This window comes from Homo sapiens, chromosome 2 (genome assembly GCF_000001405.40).
Source record: "Homo sapiens chromosome 2, GRCh38.p14 Primary Assembly".
Taxonomy (NCBI): Eukaryota; Metazoa; Chordata; class Mammalia; order Primates; family Hominidae; genus Homo; species Homo sapiens.
In genome coordinates, this window is record NC_000002.12 from 176,151,142 (window position 1) to 176,173,118 (window position 21,977).

At 51.6% G+C, this 21,977-nt stretch overlaps 2 protein-coding genes across 11 annotated transcripts, besides 4 other annotated features; both read left to right on the forward strand.

Moving 5' to 3' along the window:
- Window positions 128-861: an enhancer, noted in NCBI's record as "H3K27ac-H3K4me1 hESC enhancer chr2:177015997-177016730 (GRCh37/hg19 assembly coordinates)". NCBI's record gives its function as "activates a minimal SCP1, AML or CMV promoter by ChIP-STARR-seq in primed H9 embryonic stem cells {active_cell/tissue: H9 hESC(primed)}" and the evidence as "EXISTENCE:reporter gene assay evidence [ECO:0000049][PMID:30033119]".
- Window positions 409-2,085, forward strand: HOXD4 (homeobox D4). The gene is made up of 2 exons (NM_014621.3): window positions 409-925; window positions 1,467-2,085. Exons 1-2 carry the CDS (start codon window positions 493-495, stop codon window positions 1,799-1,801), a joined length of 768 nt encoding a protein of 255 aa, NP_055436.2. The 5' UTR covers window positions 409-492; the 3' UTR covers window positions 1,802-2,085.
- Window positions 1,388-21,957, forward strand: HOXD3 (homeobox D3). Of its 10 annotated transcripts, none has more exons than XM_047444087.1 (4): window positions 1,737-1,896; window positions 12,932-13,027; window positions 17,890-18,514; window positions 20,376-21,957. In XM_047444087.1, the coding sequence occupies exons 3-4, from the start codon at window positions 17,974-17,976 to the stop codon at window positions 21,131-21,133; spliced, it is 1,299 nt and encodes a 432-aa protein (XP_047300043.1). In that variant the 5' UTR covers window positions 1,737-1,896; window positions 12,932-13,027; window positions 17,890-17,973; the 3' UTR covers window positions 21,134-21,957. The 10 variants fall into 10 exon arrangements, with proteins under 10 accessions (XP_047300048.1, XP_047300043.1, XP_047300046.1 ...); XM_047444090.1 differs by lacking the exon at window positions 1,737-1,896 and adding an exon at window positions 6,166-6,311 and having other exon boundaries at window positions 12,932-14,654; NM_006898.5 differs by lacking the exon at window positions 1,737-1,896 and adding an exon at window positions 6,166-6,311.
- Window positions 4,126-4,629: an enhancer, noted in NCBI's record as "OCT4-NANOG hESC enhancer chr2:177019995-177020498 (GRCh37/hg19 assembly coordinates)". NCBI's record gives its function as "activates a minimal SCP1, AML or CMV promoter by ChIP-STARR-seq in naive H9 embryonic stem cells {active_cell/tissue: H9 hESC(naive)}" and the evidence as "EXISTENCE:reporter gene assay evidence [ECO:0000049][PMID:30033119]".
- Window positions 19,380-19,674: a silencer, noted in NCBI's record as "tiled region #15219; K562 Repressive non-DNase unmatched - State 21:Repr". NCBI's record gives its function as "represses a minimal TATA promoter and a strong SV40 promoter by Sharpr-MPRA in K562 cells {active_cell/tissue: K562}" and the evidence as "EXISTENCE:reporter gene assay evidence [ECO:0000049][PMID:27701403]".
- Window positions 20,480-21,090: an enhancer, noted in NCBI's record as "H3K27ac-H3K4me1 hESC enhancer chr2:177036349-177036959 (GRCh37/hg19 assembly coordinates)". NCBI's record gives its function as "activates a minimal SCP1, AML or CMV promoter by ChIP-STARR-seq in naive H9 embryonic stem cells {active_cell/tissue: H9 hESC(naive)}" and the evidence as "EXISTENCE:reporter gene assay evidence [ECO:0000049][PMID:30033119]".
- Window positions 21,958-21,977: the final 20 nt, after the last annotated feature.

Sequence of the window (21,977 nt, forward strand, 5' to 3'; positions counted from 1 at the left end):
CAGGAACCCTCCTCGCCTGGGGCACTCTGCCCAACTCAGAGGCGAGTTCACCCACCCACCTTTCATTGCTCTGTACCCCAATAGGAGGATTCATTCTCCCTTGAGCTGTGCCTACTTGGTGTCGGGGGGCGGGGGTTGCATTCAGCTGGGGGTGAGTGGAAGGGCCACGGAAGGTTGGCAAAATCAGTGGCAGACAAAAGCTGGGATTACCTGAGGGGAATGGGGTGCTGGGGACTGGAACTACATTAATATCTGGCAGGGGCTCTCAAATGTGCCATAGCAAGCTACTTGATTACACGTATGTTATTTAGTTAAATTTGTGAAAATTATGAGATGCTCACCAACCCGGTGATAAACTTGCTCCCTCGCCATTGGCTGGCCTGGTCACATGGCTGCCCAACTTTATTCAGTTGACAGCAAGTAGGAGGGCCCTATGGAAGGAGAAAAAAAGACAACACGAGAAAAATTAGTATTTTCTACCTTCTGAAATTAATGGTCATGAGTTCGTATATGGTGAACTCCAAGTATGTGGACCCCAAGTTCCCTCCGTGCGAGGAGTATTTGCAGGGCGGCTACCTAGGCGAGCAGGGCGCCGACTACTACGGCGGCGGCGCGCAGGGCGCAGACTTCCAGCCCCCGGGGCTCTACCCACGGCCCGACTTCGGTGAGCAGCCTTTCGGAGGCAGCGGCCCCGGGCCTGGCTCGGCGCTGCCTGCGCGGGGTCACGGACAAGAGCCAGGCGGCCCCGGCGGTCACTACGCCGCTCCAGGAGAGCCTTGCCCAGCTCCCCCGGCGCCTCCGCCGGCGCCCCTGCCTGGCGCCCGGGCCTACAGTCAGTCCGACCCCAAGCAGCCGCCCTCCGGGACGGCACTCAAGCAGCCGGCCGTGGTCTACCCCTGGATGAAGAAGGTGCACGTGAATTCGGGTAAGGCTAGGGTCCAGTAACCTTTCTGTCCACATCCCAGCCCGTTAGCCTGGGTCCTCTGGAAGGGGGTGCGAGTAGGTGGGGGCGTGTGGAGCTTCCATGGGCGCCGCAATTACTCTCCCCATAAATTTTTATAGCTGAGGGAGCAGGTCAGGACCATGTGGCTGGCTGCTCGGCTGTGGGCGCAAAAGGGGGTGGGGATGGGGGGGTGGGGGAGGACTCCATTTTCAGAGCAGGGGGAAGGCTGTGGAGGAGCGGGGGATTTCCAAAATGCTTGAGGGTTCCGGACCTGGTGGTGGGCCCAGAAGAAGGAGCACATTTGGGGATCCCGCAAGCCTGGGGTATGTGGGTGTGTTTGAGGAGGTGGGTGGGAGTGAGCGTGTGCGCCGGGGAGAGGGCGGGAGGGAGGAAGCAAGCGAGCTTGGGAGCGCGCGGGGAGGGCCGCGGGCCTCGGGGCGCGCCAGGAAGTGAGCGGCGGAGGCGAGGGGCCTAACTAGTGGCCGGGCGCTGACCTGCCTGTCCTGTCTGTTTTGTCTCGCAGTGAACCCCAACTACACCGGTGGGGAACCCAAGCGGTCCCGAACGGCCTACACCCGGCAGCAAGTCCTAGAACTGGAAAAAGAATTTCATTTTAACAGGTATCTGACAAGGCGCCGTCGGATTGAAATCGCTCACACCCTGTGTCTGTCGGAGCGCCAGATCAAGATCTGGTTCCAGAACCGGAGGATGAAGTGGAAAAAAGATCATAAGCTGCCCAACACTAAAGGCAGGTCATCGTCCTCATCTTCCTCCTCATCTTGCTCCTCCTCAGTCGCCCCCAGCCAGCATTTACAGCCGATGGCCAAAGACCACCACACGGACCTGACGACCTTATAGAAGTGGGGACCCTGGGCCCATCTCTCCCTGCGCACCAGGCTGAGCCGAAGCTGCGGGGGCAGGCCGGGCCTGCTGTCACCTCGCTGGGCTCTAAGGTACTGTGGGGTGGACCTGGGACAAGCAGGCCGCCCTCGGACTAGGTTAGCATCCTGCCCGAGGGCAGCCCCCTCCCTAGAGCGGGATGGGGATGGGAGGGGGGGCGGGATTCTCTCTCTAAGTATATTATATGGCAGGAGCTACTGAGAACATAAAATCTTGGCGAGTCATTAAACTTATGAAAATCACCGCTCTTGGATTTTGAATTTGCAAATGAAGGTTGGATGCTTTATCCCACTGTGAATTTGGACATTCTCCCCCACTCCACCCCTCCAGGGTGCTTTGTGGCTTAATAATGTGGGGGAGTTGAGGCAGAAGGTTGGCCACCCCTGTGCTAGGTGCTTTCAGTGGAAGCCAGAGAGCTGGGTCAGGATTTCTGGACTTTCTGGGTTGTCTATGGAATTTCATGTGATTAAAAAATATATATTTTGCTCCCAGTGGCCCCACCTCCAAAGAAATGGGTCTAAGAAGGAAGTAAAAATGGGTTATTTTATGTTTAGATATTTGCTTAAATATTTATTTGTTGGGAAATGTGGTACAGAAATAACTGACACCTTCATGCCAAAAATCTTAAAAAGGTGAAAGGGGCTGAACTTCAGGGAGCAGAATCAGAGATATGTGCACTTACTTCTGAACTCCACCCCTCCCCACTCTCTGGAAATGTATATAGGGGGGCCTTAACCCTTCCAGAAGGAAGCAAAGGATTCACTCAAAGTTGCATTCTTGAAAATATATTTCCACATGTGTTTTTTTCAGCACTGTGCTTACAACCAGTTCTGGGTGATTAAAGGAAAGGGAAAAAAACCAACAAATGGTCCAACATTTTCCTTCTGGGGAAAGAAAACAAAACCTCTATGCACTGGGTCATTAGATAATGACTGAATTTTCTGTTCCAACTGGATTCCAAATGCCCTAAATACCCTCATATAGCAGTGTTTTACAGGAATTAGTGTATGGCCTGTGTAGGGGAGGGGCTGTGCAGTGGGGAGAAAGTGGGAAGGTGAGGAACTCTTGCTTTAAGAAGGAAAAAAAAAAAACCCTAATTGAATCTAGAAGTCCACAAAAGTTAGCCTTAGAGTTTTTTTCCCCCTGAAGTTTTAATTTTTTTAAAAACCAAATCTAAGGAAGTTTTCCTCAGCTCATTAATTAGAAGCAGAATTTGTAAAAGTATAAAAGTTTTCAAGCACTCGTCTTTGCCTTGAGAATAGTGGTTTTTTAAAGAATCACTCTCAACAGGGGAGATGTCCTCTAGTCGTTTTTCTTCTGCCTCTCCTGGGAAGGGTTCAAAGTTCATTTTTCTAAAATGCTGACCCTCAAGCATAAGGAGGAAGAAGTCAAAGTTAATGGCCAGAGTTCATATACTCAGATGAAACCAGTCTTCCCAAGGCCTCAGGCTCCAAAAAAGGTTGTAGCTATCAAAAAGTGACCAAAGTGGGAAAGGGAGAAAGGATAAGCTTAAAATTTAATTTTAAGATCCAGAAGGGGGGTATTTTTTTCAGTACTTCAAAAACACTTTAGAAGGTTTCTGTTGTAATTTAAAAAATATATTTAAGTGGGAGGGAAAAAAGAGTTTCTCTGTAGGCTTGTTCTTTGGCTGTGTCTCCTGAGAGCTGAGGGCAGGTATTCACTGCAGTCCCTAGGCTGAAATTCCGCTTCTCTGAAGTGTCTTCCAAGCCTTGGTCTTTTGTATTAGACCCTGGGGACTGCTCTTTGTTTCTCCTTGGGGTGAGCCTGGCTCTCAGACTTGCACATGGCAATACTTGAATGTCACCACGTCGGGATATTAAAGATGGATATTCGTGCATTATTCACATCATTGTTTCTATGACAAAAAGCACAGAGTTCATACATAGTCAAGACGTCTTTTTTCTGACGCCCTCACGTTGAGAAGCTGAAAAGGTATTTTACCGAAGTTCGGGTAAATTACAGAATCAGGTTCATCCAGAGGACAAATTTTCTATTTGATTAGCTGTATTTCAGCCGGGAGGACTGACCTCTAAACCCCTAACCTTTTGGACTCTAACTACCCTTCTCTTCTTTTTTCCTCTCTAACATGGAGAGCAGTCTTTGGATGTACCATTTGAAAGGAGCCGCTATCCTTAGGCAAGTTGGAAAGTTGCTAAGCTGCTTTCCTAAAACCCAAATCTGTCTATACATTGAACCTTCTCTTTGAGAAGGGGAAAAAGGTATATATTTTCACAACATCCAATTACATATATATAATAGAGATTTGTTGTATAGATTTTCCCCCACCTCAGAAGTTCAGGTTACTCACCCCCAGTTTCATACCAAATGCCACACAGGCTTAACTGACTGCATCCCTGCCCCAGAGGAAAGCCAAGAAACATGTTTTCATGAGGAAAACCCAAGCTCCTTCTCAAACATAGCCCCACTACTTTGGAAAGTAACTTAATCAGAGAAACAACTTCTTTGTTTATAAGTCTCAGCTCTCCTTCTCAGCTTGGAGGGATTCTTTTGAAATGTTAATGGAGCCTGGATGGCCCAGAGTGCAGCCCCCAACCCTGAGGTCCCAGTCGGACCCCAGCATCCATTTGGGCCCACAGGAGTGGGCCAGGGAAGGGGTAGGGCCCCGTAACCACTTAGGGCAGGGAAGGAAATGGGTTTCCATCTGAGAACGTGCTTTGGAGAAAGCTAGGTGTGGAAAAGCTCCAATGCCCATTTGCTATTATTTGTTTCCAGTTTGTTCCTTTAAATATGAGCCAGAAGTGTTTGTGTTGGTGTTTTAAAAACAAAAACAAAAACCGTGTTGGGGTCCTGACTGGGGGAGGGGGAGAGTGAAGTGTTTGCTGAGGACATTGCTCCTCTGACTCCCATCTCACTTTGTCCATCGCAGCCTTTTGTTGGGAGATGACACTGTCAGTCAGCCCATGATGTCTGTTCACACGAGATGCTTTTTTAATAGAATTGACCAATGTTTTGCTGCCACTGATTAAAGTATTATTTATACTAATTGTTGCTTGTAGTTTTGATGTAATTCATTGATCTATATTTAAAATAATAAAAGGTGTAGCAAAATCTCCCTCCTGTTTGGTGCCTTAACAGAAGCATTCATCCTTTGTTAAGTCTTCTAAAAGCTAACATTTAACATAAACAAGTTATTATTTTCTGCAATAAATTAGGCACCATTTTTTGGGGGGTGCCTAAAGTGTGAAGGTTAAACCATGTAAGGCTTAGCAATTCTATTATTACCACCTCCTTAATGTACACACACTCCCAGTTGGCCACCATATTTTGTGAGCATTGGGAAGCCTGGGGTTGAATTCAGGGTACAGAGTGTTGGGTGTTAATTTTTTGAAGAAAAAGTAATTGCCCAGGTTAATAGGGGGATCCAGGTTGGCATTCTGCTGGGCCCGGGCCAGGCCCCAGACCTTTTTGGTCTGGAAGCCCTCAGAGGAAGTCTTTGGGAAGTGGTGGATGAGACACCTTACTGGTCCCCCACCCCTAAGGCAGGGAGAGCGTGCTGGGTTCTGGGCCGAGCTGAGGCTCCTGGGTGGCTGCTCTGACCTGACCCCCGGGCCTCCACTCTTGGGCTTCTACTTTTCCAGTACTGTTAAGCTCCTGTGGGGACTCCAGCACCTGCCCCTCCTTCTTCCGCGCCCCCTCCACCCCTCAGGCAACAATAAACACTCCCCACTATAAAAAGTGCCCTGCACTACATTTACCGCAAGGGCTTCTTTACATCTTGGCCTCGCCTTGAAGAAGGGGCCAAGACAGGAGTCCCAAAATAGATGGGGGTGCTTGTTCCAGACAGGAAATGAGCAGAATGCATAAAATCAGACATCTGTCCTTAATATATGGAAGGGCTTGCCCCAGACGCGTGGACATGTGTATTTATAAGTGCGCAGGCAGAAGTTTAAATATTCAGACACATTTTATGATTGTCCTCTGCCCGTCTTCTGCTTAATGGCTCCTCCCGTGCCCACCAATACATCAATACCGTTGTGTGTATTGAATCGCGGGCAGGGATGAGGAGGAAGCGAGTCCATAGCAGAGCCCGCTGAGTATAGAGTACAGTAAATCGGGACCCTCGGCGGACGGCGCTTCCCGCCCGCCTGCCCGCCATGTTGGGGAGCCCTCCCTGCCCCCCGCGCCGGGCTGGGCGGCCGGGGCTCGCTGGCAGCCGGGGGAGGGCCTTTCATAACCCGGAGAATTTTCTAAGTGCGAGGAAGATGATAAGAATAGATTTCTACAAGTCCCGACCACGTGATTGGCGAAATAATTAATTCAGCACGTCCCTTAAGAAACACGGAGTCGTCATTAATCTGCCACGCAAAGGGCTCTCTCCGACTTGGAAAGTGCAGGGATCCCAAGAATATCACCCGTCCAGGGGGGCCGCGCGGTGCCCCCGGCCCTCCACCCCCGGCCCCCGGCGGGCGCGGGAGCGCGGCCGCAGGTAAATATTTTGGCAACTTTTATTTCATCAGATTTAAATCCTTAATGAACTTAGCTGTCACGGCCGCTGACAAATAGTTCCCTTTGCTTCCTGATTTGGAACTGCGCGCCGGCGAGAAGTTGTTAGTGGCTTGGATGGTGACCTTTGGTTCAGCAAAGCTTTGCACTTATGAAAAATTACTGAGAGCGGCCGAGTGTGTGTGTGTGTGCGTGCGTCCGCGCGCGCGCTTGTGTGTGTGAGAGAGGGAGAGACAGAGACAGAGACAGAGATAGGGAGAGGGTGTGTGTGCGAGGCGCTAGGGTGCCAGGGGGCGAGGGGTGAGGGGCGAGGTGCACGCGGGCTGCTCCAAGACAACAGGAGTTGTAAAAAACCGGCCCGGCTGGCGGACGCGCCTGGCGCACGCGGGCCGAGGTTGCCTGGTCGCCTGTGTCTACCAGGAACAATGGTCGCTGTCACGGCATCTGCCGCCTATTCTTAAACCGGTGAGAAAAGGCCCTGGCCCTCTTTTCAAGCGAGGGTCGTAAATTTTTCTTTGCGTCATAATAGAAGGCTATAAAATCGAGTTGAAATTTTACCCCAGGCAGGTTTTAACCAACAGATAATGATTTCCGAGTTGCCTCTCCCCCCGCTCCTCTCTCCCCACCCAAGTTCTGCTGCCTCTGTCACCCCAGCGAGTTTCTTCTTCTTTCCCGTTTATTTTTGTGTTTGTATTTTTTATTTCTATTTTGGAAGAGCTAAAATAAACGCGAGAAGAAGTCCCTGCAGCCCGAGTGGGAGACCCCGGGGCGACGGGAAGCCTGGGGAAAGGAGGATGGGGGAGAGGCCAGTGCGGGCTGCAGAAGGCTGTTTCTCTGCTCGCTCCCGTTTCTGCCTTTTTTCACCGGCACTCCAAGAAAATTGGGTGTCCTAAGAGCCACTCCGCTCCGTTCCACCCCATCCCCAGCTTGCCAGGGTCGTGGGCTGGGGCAGTAGCGAGCATTCTTTTCTTCCAGCTTGCAGCTCCGACCCGGGCGCCTCTTCATTCGCCTCCTTCCCTCTTGTTGCTGTGAGATACCTCCATTGGCTTTCAGAATGATTTCAGCGAGCAGGGGCTGGCTGCGCGTGGTGGTTGTTTTGGGATTATGTGTGCGTGTGTGTTTGTGTGTGTGTGTGTTTTCATTTATTTTTTGGTGTGTGTATATTTCCCCGTCAGGACAGAAACAAAGTTTCCCCCATTATGAATTATACATTCAAACAATAACACATTAATTCAATTATTCAAAGATGACAAATGTTTATGTGCTTTGCGAGTGACTCGGGCGCAGATTCCAGGCGCTTTCTCTGAGCTGCTTGCATTTTTCTCAATGAGAATCGTCTCCCCTCCCACCCCCCCCACTCCAACCCACTCCAACCCACCTAGATATCCCCTTGTAGGCCCAGAGAGGAACCCACAAAAAGCTTCCCCAGCCCTGCTGGCAGCCCGGCAGCCAACAGCCTCCCAAGGCCCCGGCTTGGCGGGCACTGGCCCGGGCTATTTTATCAGTGTGACAATTGCCCGGGTTGGTGTGATAAATCATCGTAAGTAATTCCTGAAAGGGTGCGAGACTGTTGGGGGCCGGGCGAGGACTGTAAATCTTTCCGGTTTATTGCTCTATGAACATATGCTCCGATTGAAGAAGGCTTAGATCCTTTCCTGGAGACAAATTCCCGCAAAGCAGCCCCCCTCTTTGGCTGGGGATTAACACTTGCTGCTGGCCGTCAGGTCGGCCTCTGGCAAGAGGCTAGGGGGCGGGGTCCTCCGGGTGGGGGTGGGCTGGGGTCACCCACGATCCGGCTTCGAGAGACGCCCCGAGTGGGCCTCTGGCCAGGCCCGGCCAGGTGAACAAAAGGATGGGCTCGTAGACGGTTCTGGGGGCTCGGGCCTCCAGGACATTCCTGCGCCTCTGGAGTGGGGATGCGGTGGACCTTACCCACTCCTCTGGGGCTCTTCTATGGCTGCTGGGCACTTTCACCGGTCTCAGACCCTGCAATCAGCAACAGAGCATTTCACTGTGCCTGATGCCGCTGAGCAGAGCTGGCAACGAAACCAAAACTTCGGGGACAGGGTGGAGAGTTCCCCGTGGTGCGGGATTCCCGAGTGTGGCCCCGGCTGGGGGAGGGTCTTGGGCGCTCATTACAGGCCAGGAGGTCCGCTGCTGGCGCTGGCACGCTTAATTCTTTTTTCCCACATTGCAGAATCATTCCCACCAGCCACTCGGAGAGTGGTGGGAATCTGTCTTGGTTTAATATTTCTAAAATATAAGTTTCATTGTCCCCCAGGTTAGCCCAGCCAGGACTCATTGCGCAGTCCTCCTCGCCTTCCTGGAGGCGCCGCAGGAAGCGGGAAGTCGCGGCTTGGCGGTTGCTGGGCCTGTGGGATCTGCGGGTCCTGCCCAGACCTGGAGTCGCACAGATCACGGCGGGCAGTGGCTCAGCGCCTAGGCGGCTCCAGGCCTCGAAGGACCAGGTTGGGGTGCTCAGGGATCAGAGAGGGGAGGTCGCTCTGGGTCCGGGTCGCCTGCTACGCGCCTTTTCTGTCTCAGAAGTGGCGGTGACTCGGCTGCTGAGTCCGCGGAACGAGCCACGGAATGGTGGTGGTGGCGGGGTTTTCTGAGGTGACTGGCCAGAGCTGAGAGTCGCGGCTTCCACCTTTGGGCCGGAGCGGGTCCTCGCCCTGGGAGGAGCTGGGCGTCGGCCTCCGCGGCGGGGAGGCCGCCTTGCCGGGGTGCATGAGGCTGCGGAGTACTCCGCGGGCCCGGGAAGCTAGGGGTACCCTCAGCCTCTGCTGCTCCACGGCAGTCTCCAGAGACGCTTCTAAGAGAGGCAGTTTCTAAAATTTCCAGCTCCCGGACCAGTCTGGCGGAAGGCCCAGCCAGGGTCAGAGGTCGTTGTGGGGAGAGACTCTCAACGCCCCCAACCCACTGAGGGCGGCCAGGCCAAGACTGAGTCGGCCCGGAGCTGCGAAAATGTGTTCTTTCCTTCCGCCCCACACCCATCCGCGTCTGCCCCAGGAATGGGGCCCAGGTCCCAAGCCTCCTGCGCCCTTCCTTCCAGCCCCCAGGCTTGGCTGCGCTCCGGGACTGGGTGGCGTGAAAGTTTCAGCCTCAATCAGTACAAGCTTCCCTCGGGGTCACGTGAACAAATATGCTTGCATTTGAAGGCAGCGTCTGTATTTCCCGACTATGAGGGGGTTTCCGGGGCTCTCTCCAAATCCAGAAACGACCACGTTCCGCAAGCAAAACAAATCCCAAGCTCTGGGGGGCCTGGGAGGGCTGGGCAGAAACCCAGGAGTGGGTGGGGGCGCGGGTGGCTGCCGCTCTGGGCCCGAGAGCGGACGGGCGGGCGGGTGGACCGATGGGCGCGCAGCGCAGGCGAAGCCAGCTCGGGGACTACGAACTCGTTCCTCCTGCGTTTATTGGTAGTTGAACCTCAGCCTGGTTCCGTTCTACCGGGAATTCCGTGTGCTCGAGTATATGGCCGTGTCTGCGAGCGCGCAAGACCAGGGTTGGGACAGTGTTGTCTGCAGACAAAGGGGGAAGGCTAGCTCTGCCCCCCACTGGCGCCCACTCTGAGGCCGAGGACACCAGGTTTATGATAAATTGGGATCCAGGTAAGCAATTGCATGACAAAATGGAAATCTTTGGGCACGGGGCTGCTTGCCGCCCTGAGCGGGATATTAAATATGATTTATTTTGTGTAATCTGTGATCTTGATTATTGCCAATTGGTGAGGCAGCCCGCGTAGACCTAGATACACTGCTACATATACATGGAGGACGGTGATTAATCGTAACAAGGCGCGCTTTGTGGGGACGTTCCCCGCCTACCAAAGGGTTAGGAGGACACTACCTTGCCAGGCTTGGAGGGTGGCCGGCAGCATTGGGGGTGGTAGTAGCAGTTTAAGGAGGGGATCTGGTGAGGGGATTGAGTGCTGGAGGAAATATTTGGGGGCTAAATGTGCACTTAGGAGAATGGGCTGAAAAAGAAATTAAAACTTTTTTACACTTTACTGCCAAAGTAAGATGGAGCGTCATATTAATTCTGTGTCTTGAGCTGCCGGGCTGGGTGCAGGCGGGTTGATTTATATGTATTTAAAATAAACTCGGTGGTCAGCCAGCTCCCTGCATTGTTCCGGTAGCGAGCTCCACACACAGCCTTTACCTCTTGCTGTTGGCTTAATTTTTTCTTGGGAGATTAAAACGCTACTGAGCTTTTCCTCCCAAAATTTGAGAGAACCTCCAAACTACCCAGAAGAGTTTGGGAGGTTCCTCCACATTTCCCTTTACCAATCCAGGCTTTTGATTGCCGTAGTGGCAGAGAAAAGGTTTAGTGTTTCTAGGTCCTTCTCCCCAAAGAACCCTGAATGAAAGCTAAATCATATATTGGTTCACGAATCCCATCTCTCCTTTTGTTTACTTGCTCCCTGTGGCTACTGGCTGGGAGAGGAGAAGACAACCCATCCCGGGTCTTTCCGTGCCAGGGATGGAGTGAGCAGCTCCAGGAGCTCCAGTGAGTGGTTCCATGCTCGTGGTAATGCCACTGGGCCAGACCCAACCGGACCTTTATGGGGAAAGAACCTCAAAAGCAAGGAGCATTCCCTTAGCTTAGGTTGGGACAGGCCCTAGCAGGAGAGGAACCGACTTCCAGGGGCTTCGCCATCATAAGAGAGCAGTAAAGTTGTTTTGTCAATCTCCTGCGCTTGGCTTCATCAGAACTGAAAGTCGCTGGACATTTTTCTTTGCTAGCTGCCTTGAAGCTGCGCGCCTGCCAGCTTAGTCAGCTGAATCCAATTACCGCGAGTAGCATTTCATTTGGCCCCATGGAGCATTCACTTATAACTTCCCCCGAAAATTTCAATAATCCCTACCAAGGCTCCACGCTGGCCCTATCCTAAAGAGTTTTCCTAGGGTGCTGCTGAGGGATGAGGTGTAGGGTTGGGGCTGCCTGGACTCAGCTCTTCCTTGACAGCTCACGGACGCAGCTCCTTCCTGCTCTTCCCGTTTTTGGCTCCAGAAAGAGCACCAGTGCTGGTGGTCCAAAGCCAGCCCGGTTAAGGCTGAGAATCTGGGCAAACAAGGAGCCAAAGTTGGACCCGCGTGGGATGGTGGGTGGGCAGGGTAGGGAGCGTGGGAGAAGGTGCTGAAGGCTTTTCTGGTGGTCCAACTTTGGTTAACTTGGGGTCCTCTTTCCTTTCTTCTTCCCAAGCCTCTTACGCCAAGAGCTCAAAGCGCACCGCGCACCCCGGAACCCCCAGGCGCAAACTTACCCTGTTCCTCCGCGGCTGGAAAAAGAAAAATCTAGCTAGAGGCATAAGGGGGTGGCGGCCCCGGGTGACCTCCCAACTTAGCTCTTCTTTTGAGGGGATGCTCCTACTTCTAAAGAACTCTTTTTTAAAAATAAATAAATAAAAAATAATCAAGCGGCGAAAGTTGACGTCCGCCCACGTGAATGTATTATATAAAGCAGCTACAGGACCAGCTGGCTTGAGAGCCCTGGTACCTCGGGCCTCCACCGCACCACCCTCAGGTCCCGGCCCAGCCAAGAGCGCTTGGGGGAGGGGGGCGGGCAAGTGGCTTTTCCCCCTGGGTCCAGGCCGGCTGGGAAGCTGAAGCCGCAGCGCGAAGTTAGGAGCCCTACCGGGCTGGGATCTCTTCGAGGCGCTTCTGTTGGGTGTTCATTAAGGGGTGAGTTATTGCGGTGCGAGCCAAAGGTCACTTCAAAGGCTTATGGCTGCGCGCTTTAGTCTTTAGAAGCGCCGGGAACGCTTTGTGTGAGGCTTTCCCGGGTGTAGTTTAGTGCTCGCAAACTACTGAGTCGACAAATTGCACAGGGCAGATGCAAGAGGGGGACTCTGTCTCTCTCCTTTCACCTGACGGGGGGTGGTCACCCGCTGAGCGGTGACAGTGGTGGGGGAGCTTGGTCTGTGGCTTTGGGTGGGGGTGGAAAGGATGTTTGTTTCTTAGGCGATTTGCAGTCTGATCCTGACCCAGAAGTGGGCAGCCCAGGGCCAAGAGTGTGGTGGATACTTACCGGAATGAATAAACTCAGGGAAAGCATCTGATATATTTAATGTATAAATCAGGAACTAGCGCCCAGGTCCTCTTCACTGAGGCTCTGTAGAGCAGCCCCTGACCAAGATCCACCCAAGCCTATTTACCTTCCTTTCCTGGTGCCCTTTTCTGCAGCCTCCCCTGCCAAACCCCCACCTTAATTCTGCACGGTCTCTCTCTTCTGCCCCTAGGAGAGTGTTTGGCTTCCGGGATTGGGACCTGGAGGAGCATTTAGAATTTGGTAGGGGCAGGAGGAGAGCAGATTGGCTTCCCTGCACCTCTGACCCACCTGGCTAGAGGGTCTGGCGCTTCCCTCACGTCCGGGCTCTCCCCTCCCCCATCCAGCCATGGATTTTGGCGTTAAAGGGGCCCTCGCTCCCCAGGAGCCAACTGAGTCTGTGTTTTGCCGGGGAGAAGGCGTCTGGATGGTCACGGGTACCATATACAATAGTCACATTGACTATGACGTCCTTCAAGTGGGAAAAGCCCTTCAACATGTAAGTGTTTGTAAGCAAGAACCGGCTGCTACTGAGAGTTTTCCATTTTGTTCCAGATTCGCCTCCACAGATATCAAAAGAAACCTGAAGAGCCTACAAAAAAAAAAGAGATAAAGACAAAATTCAAGAAAACACACACATACATAATTGTGGTGAGTGGGCATCATTTAAATAATAATTTCCAGTACATTTCCCTCTGCAACTCAAGGTGGCCATCTCAAAATTCATACATCAAGACATAGAACAAAGGGCAGCTTTGAAGTGGGTCACTTCAGTATGAAGTACCACCCGTTACATGAAAACCGATCATTGGCCTTCAAATTTATGGCGCTTTAATGGGGCAAGCCCAGTGCCTTAAATACAGGGTGCATTACAGTATTGAGTTATCTGGGCTAAATAAGAGTGATTTAGAAGGCGCGTCCAGGTCTTCTTATAGAGCAAAAGAGGCTCAAGCTTAGAGATCGGGAGAACTTGGGCGGAACGTAAAGAAGTCTCCTTTCGAGCAAACCCAAAAACCAGTGGTTTCGAATCCCGAAGTAGCAAAGCCAACAGGAAAGGGAGAATCGTTGCTCGGTTCCAGTGAATTCGTGGGGATGCTCAGCAAAAGTCTTGGCCGCCAGAAAGAGATCCGTGGGCTTCTGACCCTGGTTTAGGCAAAACAGGGGGAGGCGCCGAGACCAGCTCGAGCACTAGCGGATTTTGAGAGAAACTGACCGCAACCTCCATCGCCTTCCCCCTCTCTTTCAACTTGGATGGGCTGACTCTACCCGTCGGTGATTTACGACGATTGCAGCGCTAGTCACAGCCTGGCGCCTGGTGTCCCCTCCCTTCCCAAGCCCCCTCAGCTTTTCCACTGCCACCGGCGTACAAGCAAGTGCCGAGCCGGCCTCCGCAAGTCGGACTAGCCTCCCGGCGTCCGAGGCCACCACGGGCAGCAGATTTTTGGTCCCCAGCGAGGCTGCGCGCGTTCGTCCCGCCTCCGACCGCCGAGCAGAGCTGCTAGCAGAAGCAGGCGCCGGTCACTTTATATAATCCTGCTGCTCGCAGGGTGCAAGAGCGGGAAAAGTGCGGAGTAGGGAATTCTTTTGCTGCGCTGCCTCCTACGCGGAGCCTGCTTTCCACTGCTGAAAAGTGCCGGGCCTTGGGAAGTGTTTTTCTTTTCATTCCTTACCGAAGCGTTTACTGCCGCCGTGGTCGCAGTCATAAATTTTGCTACAAACCACAATGACAGGTGCATTGATATGCACCGTGAGAGCTCCAGCTGCTTAATAACCCCGTCCCCTGGTCGCTGTGAGCGCCTTTTATTTATTTGGTATCATATTAGGTATTGATCTCTAGTAGCATTAAGTGCGGTGAGCAAGTATCAGGGTTCGGCTGCTTTGGAGGCGCAGCGGTTGCGGCGGGCCGGCGGGCCCGGGGAAGCGGGCGGTGGCCGCTCAGAGAATACCTTCCTTCCGGCAGGAGACCGTTTGGCCCTGTATTCCGGGCCTGCGGTTGGGCCTCCAAGCTGAGTTGGGCAACTTCCCAGCACCGCAAGAAAGGGCGAGCCAGACCTATTTGGCACCCCTTTCCCAGGAGGAGCAGGGGATGGCGCCGGCGGAGTTTGGGGAGGCTGCCCTGGCCAGTTCCCCGGGCTAGAGGGTGGAGGAGAGGAGGAGGGAGAGGAAAGGGCAGCTGAGGACTTGGAAGAAATGAGAAGCCGTGCTCGACCACCCCTCCCCCAACACTGGCTCATCTTCACCCCAAGACATTTGGGTCTTGGAGCCCAAATGAGCAAAGGTACCAAAGGGCGAGAAAAGAAAGGCTTTAAAAAAAGGGTGAGGGGGTGATCGAAAAGATGAGCCACTGAACAGTTGACCATTGTCCAAGTGATTTATGACCCGTTCCTGCTTTTTAGGTTCAAGCAGAGTTCACAAGGAGTAGGGATTTCTGAAAAGAAATAAGCCTTTTTACCAGTTTTGTAACTATATTCTCAGGTTTTGTTTTAAGAGGGATCACTTTTGGGAAACTGCATTTTTGGGGGACTGCAAAGCCATTTCCAGTAAGGACAGCACCATCACTGGCTCTTGCTTTTGGGGAAATGGACATTAAGGTAGTGGATTGTCATTGAGTGGGAAATTTCTTGAGACAATGTAAACAGTTAGGAAAACAGACTCTGGTTTTTCAGGAAGATGCCCAATGTTTGTACTTTTGAGGTCTGTACACAGAACTTTTTCTAGGAATATGCCATAGAAGCAAATATATATATAAAGCCATCTGTCCCAGAAGAACTGGTCAGTTCCTAAGTAAGCTATTTTAACGTGACTGGTTCACCTATCTAGATCAACTTTGTCAACTTGGGAGGCAGGAGGGTGAATGTTTTGCTTCCACAGTTGTAAATGGAATGACAGAGCAGCAGCAAGTTCTGGTAGTCTGAGTGTCCGATGTGACCATTAGGCCTCCAGAGGGTTAAGACTGAAAGCAGGATACCAGAAAAGCCTGAAACATAACCAAATCCAGAGTGCCTCTTTCTTCAGCAGGGGGCAAACATATGTAAGTATTAGTCACAGAATGAAGACTTAGCTGTCCATTTGATATCCAGTAACTTTTAACAGAGAATGATATATAAAATTAATCAAAAGAAAAATTAAGTCCAGCTTTGTTAAGTAGATATCCTACCTACATACATTTAAGAACAATAATGGAAACAATTTCTACAACATAGTATCTTGGTATTAAGGGCCTGTTCCTCATCAAGACAAATGGCATACTCACTTATATTCTAAAACAAGACAAAACAAAAAGGGCAACAACACTACCTACCAAAGACTAATTAGAAGAATTTTAAAATTTGGGTTAGGCTGTTTGGTGCAGGTGGAGGGAAAACTAGTGAATCATTCTGGTACCTGTGGTCAAATCCATTAGGCCACATAAGCTGTCTAGATGATGTGGTACATCATGATGACCAGGATGGAAGCCAGGGAGAGTTTCTAGGAAGGAAAGTTGCCTGAAAGACAGATCAAGAATTGAGACCAGGGAGCTGACCTATGAGTTTTCTTTATCAAACAGACAAAGTGATTGAATGGTATTAGTTATACTTTAACTCTTTAGGAGCCTTTCAGAAGAAGTAGGGAGGCAGGGAGAGAAGGGAAACCCCCATAAAGAAGGGAATACAAAAGGGGTAGGATTTTTCTTAGCTTTTTTTTCTTCTTCTAATTCTGGGTCCATTCATCATGTCATGAAAGGTTCTCTCATTGGTTGTGGTTTGGGTGGGAGGTAGGGTAGAATAGATTATCCAGAGCAGATGTCAATAATATCTATTTATACAATAGATCCAAGGCAAAAATAATAAAGTTATAAAGCATTCTCCACTCACCCATGTTCCATGCATTTCAAATTCTAGATCTCTTTGCCCATTTCCAGTGGTATCTGTTTAAAAGTAGGGGAGGTCAAAAGTAAAAGGTCTAGAAAAATGTAAATGAAAGAGAAGAAACATTTTCTAGCCTCAAAATGAGTCTGGAAGTCTGCAAGTCCTCCTGTTGGTGTTTATCCCCTAGTTTTCTACATTGTAGATTTTACACTGCTGATTCATAGAGCTTACTCAGCTGATTTTCACCCTGTCATCGTTAAGTGGACTATCTGGACTTTCATGCAAGATGCTGTGATTTTGAAACCAGGTGGGGGGAGACCCTTTTTTTTTTTTTTTTTTTTTTTTTTTTTAAGTTCTGGCTGTTCTGAGCATGTTATAGGACTTTCATTTCCCATCAAAACCTTGTGCTGACCCAATGATTGACTGATTGATCCACTTATTAATTCACCTATTCAACAAGCATTTATTGCACTAACTACATGCAGGGCACTGTGCTGGATGTTAGGAACAGTAGACAAATGACACAGCCCCTGCCTGCAAGGAGCTTACAGTTTAGTGGGCGAATCAGCCAACAAAATGTCTGAGGCTATAAGTACTTTTCCACACAGAAGAAAGGCTAAATGGACAATCTTGAAGAAAGTAAATTGTATCTGGAGGTAGAGGGAAGCCCTTTCCCTCAGCTACAGTTGAGCTAAAAAGAAGGAAACTCTTCTTACATTTAGGAAAAATTCCTTCTGATACTTCCAGAGGTTCAAATAAGTTGAACTTCATAAAATCTGCCAGGCGCAGTGGCTCATGCCTGTAATTCCAGCACTTTGGGAGGCCAAGACGGGAGGATCACAAGAGCCCAGGAACTCAAGACCAGCCTGGGCAACATTGTAAGACCCTGTCTCTACAAAAAAAAAAAAAAAAAAACTAAGAGCTGGCGCAGTGGCTCACACCTGTAATCCCAGCACTTAGGGAGGCCCAGGCGGGTTGATCACCTGAGGTCAGGAGTTCAAGACCAACCTGACCAACATGGTGAAACCCTGTCTCTACTAAAAATATAAAAAATTAGCCAGGTGTGGTGGCAGGTGCCTGTAATCCCAGCTACTCAGGAGGCTGAGGCAGGAGAATTGCTTGAACCCAGAGGCGTAGGTTGCAGTAAGCTGAGATCATGACACTGCACTCCAGCCTTGGCAACAGGAGCAAAATTCCATCTAAAACAAAACAAAACAAAACACTAAGACATGTAGCCAGGCATGGTGGGCACCTGTAGCTACTGCAGAGTAGCTGGGACTCTGAAATACTCTGAAATAGCTATTAATACTGCAGAATAGCTGGGACTTTGAAATACTCTGAAATAGCTATTAATACTGCAGAATAGCTGGGACTTTGAAATACTCTGAAATAGCTATTAATACCAGGCTAAAGTGGGAGGATCGCTTGAGCCCAGTAAATTGAGGCTGCAGTGAGCCATGTTCATGCCACTGCACTCCAGCCTGGGCAACAAGCAAGACACTGTATTAATAAATAAATAGATAAGTAAATAAACTCAGATCCAGCACCTTGCCCATCTCCCCGCCGTGAAGTGGGTAGGAAGCAGAGAGCATGGGCTAGTCCTTCTATATTGACTGGTCTTGCCAATGACACTCCCTCTGGGGCCTCTTGCTTTTCTTCTGACAGGTCACCTGGAGCCTGGGGGCCGGCCCAGCTCTCTCAGGATTCAGCAGACATTGGAGGTGGCAGTGAAGGATACAGTGGTAGTCAATGTTATTTGAGCAGGGTCAGCAGGCCCTGGAGCTTCCTGAGTGCACAATGCAGAAGGCTGCTTACTATGAAAACCCAGGACTGTTTGGAGGCTATGGCTACAGCAAAACTACGGACACTTACGGCTACAGCACCCCCCACCAGCCCTACCCACCCCCTGCTGCTGCCAGCTCCCTGGACACTGACTATCCAGGTTCTGCCTGCTCCATCCAGAGCTCTGCCCCTCTGAGAGCCCCAGCCCACAAAGGAGCTGAACTCAATGGCAGCTGCATGCGGCCGGGCACTGGGAACAGCCAGGGTGGGGGTGGTGGCAGCCAGCCTCCTGGTCTGAACTCAGAGCAGCAGCCACCACAACCCCCTCCTCCACCACCGACCCTGCCCCCATCTTCACCCACCAATCCTGGAGGTGGAGTGCCTGCCAAGAAGCCCAAAGGTGGGCCCAATGCTTCTAGCTCCTCAGCCACCATCAGCAAGCAGATCTTCCCCTGGATGAAAGAGTCTCGACAGAACTCCAAGCAGAAGAACAGCTGTGCCACTGCAGGTAGCTCCCTGAGGTGGCCTACTGCCAGACCAAGCCCCCTCCAGATTGACCCAAGGAAGCCTAGTCAGGGCTGGAAATGCAACCTTGGAGGTCATATGTCTAAACTCCTACTCACGTCAAAATGTTCTTTTTTTTAGTGTTCCTGATTGGGGTCATGACCTTGCAGTGACAGGGTGCTCCCTTCCATTCCAGGCTGCTGGTGCTGTTGCTGGACAGGTCTTATAGCTATTAATAGAGAGTGCTTCCTTATATGGGCATATCTGTTTTCCTGGGCTGCTAATTATAACTCCATTCCCTCTTCCACCCAACAGCTCTTCAAGATTTGAAGATAGGTATTACAATCCCCAAGCCTAGGTGATTATATAGCCCATATCACACGAATCTCATTCCCTTAAACTCATAAAAACTAAAGTCTTAGAAAGTACCATACTAAGTACTTTCTAAGCATTATCTAATTTAATTTTTCAAAGAACCTTTTGAGGTAGGTATATGATAACATCCCCATTTTACAGATAAGAAAACTGTTAGAGAGGATAGGCAACTTGCCCAAGATTCTGAAACTGCAAAGTGGTGGATTTGAATCCAGTCAGTCTGGCTTTAGGGGCTGCTAAGCATAACCATGAGTCTCTATTTGGCCCACCTCAGCCCAATTCTCCCACTCCAGCAAATCCATAATGGGGAGGTGCCTGTCCTAGTAGGAGAGGATATTCTGGGAGACAGTAACAGCCTTGGATTTCTCTAACTGGAAGGGGAGCCCCTCCAGTTGGGGCCTTCTCTAGGTCCACCCAGGGCATGTAGAAGATAGGCATGGCCAGGAACTCTGAGGGCTGTTCCTTCTCTCTGCTTAGACTGCTTGGTTCCTGAAATTTTCTGACCTTGTGGTATCTGATGTGGTTTATCTTCAGGTAGATGAACTTGCTTCCAGGTCCAGGGCAAGTTTGGGGCCTGGGGTGTGGCTTGCTATCAGGGATCTGGTTTGCCTGATGTTTTCTGGGGCTGCTGCTCCTAGGGAGAGGGTATTATCCTGCCTGCAACCTCCTTTTCCTGCCCCTCCTTCCTCAGCTGCAGGCTCAGGCCCTCCCTCCCAGGAGAAATCCATTTGTCTTCCCTGGGAGGGAGTGGACAAGCAGCTGAGAGGTGGCAGGGTAGTAAAAGCCAGTGTTGAGGCTGCTGCTCCTAGCACTGTGAATACTCAAAATGCTTCCAGCCTGGCCTTGGACTCCCTAAAATACCCAGGCAGTGTTTTTTTTTGTTTGTTTGTTTGGTTGGTTTTTTTTTATTTTTTATTTTTTGGTTTGTCACCTCCCTGGCTTTGAGTGCAGTTGGGCTGCAGTGGGGCGCCAAGATCTCCATCCCCATACTTTGCTGGGGGTTGGTGGGGGGCTTTGCCCAGAGGCCAGCTCCTAAGCAAGGCAGGCTGGAGCTATTTCCTCTTCCTTTCCTTCTCCATACCCCACCCCTGGCAGCAGAGGCTGGGAGGAGTGTTCAAAGGAGTCTGGCCCTTCTTTGACAGAGGGAGGCCTTACCAGCTGCTCCTGGTCTCTCATTAAACTCTTTCATGGCCTTTGGGTGGGTATGGGATGATGGACTAGGCTGCAGGGGAGAGGGTGGGCAGAGTGAACTGGATCTCAGAAGGCTGATGGAGGTTTCAGGTGCGACTGATAGGTAGGCCTAGTAGGGGGTTGGTAGGTAGGTGAATTCCCCCTTGGAATCATACCTCTCAAACGGCCCTTCCCCTCCCCAGCCAGGATTGGAGGTGGGGGGAGGGAGGAGGAAAAGAGAACCAGGGAAGCACCCCTCTCCAGTCCTGAGGGTCCCCACCCACTCGCTCAGCGCCCTCCCTCTCTCCCTCCCTGCCCAGGAGAGAGCTGCGAGGACAAGAGCCCGCCAGGCCCAGCATCCAAGCGGGTACGCACGGCATACACGAGCGCGCAGCTGGTGGAATTGGAAAAGGAATTCCACTTCAACCGCTACTTGTGCCGGCCGCGCCGCGTGGAGATGGCCAACCTGCTGAATCTCACGGAACGCCAGATCAAGATCTGGTTCCAGAACCGGCGCATGAAGTACAAGAAGGACCAGAAGGCCAAGGGCATCCTGCACTCGCCGGCTAGCCAGTCCCCTGAGCGCAGCCCACCGCTCGGCGGCGCCGCTGGCCACGTGGCCTACTCCGGCCAGCTGCCGCCAGTGCCCGGCCTGGCCTACGACGCGCCCTCGCCGCCTGCTTTCGCCAAATCACAGCCCAATATGTACGGCCTGGCCGCCTACACGGCGCCACTCAGCAGCTGCCTGCCACAACAGAAGCGCTACGCAGCGCCGGAGTTCGAGCCCCATCCCATGGCGAGCAACGGCGGCGGCTTCGCCAGCGCCAACTTGCAGGGCAGCCCGGTGTACGTGGGCGGCAACTTCGTCGAGTCCATGGCGCCCGCGTCCGGGCCTGTCTTCAACCTGGGCCACCTCTCGCACCCGTCGTCGGCCAGCGTGGACTACAGTTGCGCCGCGCAGATTCCAGGCAACCACCACCATGGACCTTGCGACCCTCATCCCACCTACACAGATCTCTCGGCCCACCACTCGTCTCAGGGACGACTGCCGGAGGCTCCCAAACTGACGCATCTGTAGCGGCCGCCGCCAGCCCGAACTCGCGGCAAAATTACCTCTCTTGCTGTAGTGGTGGGGTAGAGGGTGGGGCCCGCGGGGCAGTTCGGGAACCCCCTTCCCCGCTCTTGCCCTGCCGCCGCCTCCCGGGTCTCAGGCCTCCAGCGGCGGAGGCGCAGGCGACCGGGCCTCCCCTCCATGGGCGTCCTTTGGGTGACTCGCCATAAATCAGCCGCAAGGATCCTTCCCTGTAAATTTGACAGTGCCACATACTGCGGACCAAGGGACTCCAATCTGGTAATGGTGTCCCAAAGGTAAGTCTGAGACCCATCAGCGGCGCGCCCTGCAGAGGGACCAGAGCTTGGAGAGTCTTGGGCCTGGCCCGCGTCTAGCTTAGTTTCAGAGACCTTAATTTATATTCTCCTTCCTGTGCCGTAAGGATTGCATCGGACTAAACTATCTGTATTTATTATTTGAAGCGAGTCATTTCGTTCCCTGATTATTTATCCTTGTCTGAATGTATTTATGTGTATATTTGTAGATTTATCCAGCCGAGCTTAGGAATTCGCTTCCAGGCCGTGGGGGCCACATTTCACCTCCTTAGTCCCCCTGGTCTGAACTAGTTGAGAGAGTAGTTTTGAACAGTCGTAACCGTGGCTGGTGTTTGTAGTTGACATAAAGGATTAAGACCGCAAATTGTCCTTCATGGGTAGAGTCAGGAAGCCCGGTGGCGTGGCACAACACACTTTGGTCATTTCTCAAAAACCACAGTCCTCACCACAGTTTATTGATTTCAAATTGTCTGGTACTATTGGAACAAATATTTAGAATAAAAAAATTTCCCAGTCGGAACTGTATCTGTGTTAAT

Coding starts and splice junctions, on each gene's coding strand:
- HOXD3 (XM_047444092.1), top strand. CDS start 17,974: ATGTTATTTGAGCAGGGTCAGCAGGCCCTGGAGCTTCCTGAGTGCACA. Junction 18,515..20,375: donor GAACAGCTGTGCCACTGCAG/GTAGCTCCCTGA, acceptor CTCCCTGCCCAG/GAGAGAGCTGCGAGGACAAG.
- HOXD4 (NM_014621.3), top strand. CDS start 493: ATGGTCATGAGTTCGTATATGGTGAACTCCAAGTATGTGGACCCCAAG. Junction 926..1,466: donor GAAGGTGCACGTGAATTCGG/GTAAGGCTAGGG, acceptor TTTGTCTCGCAG/TGAACCCCAACTACACCGGT.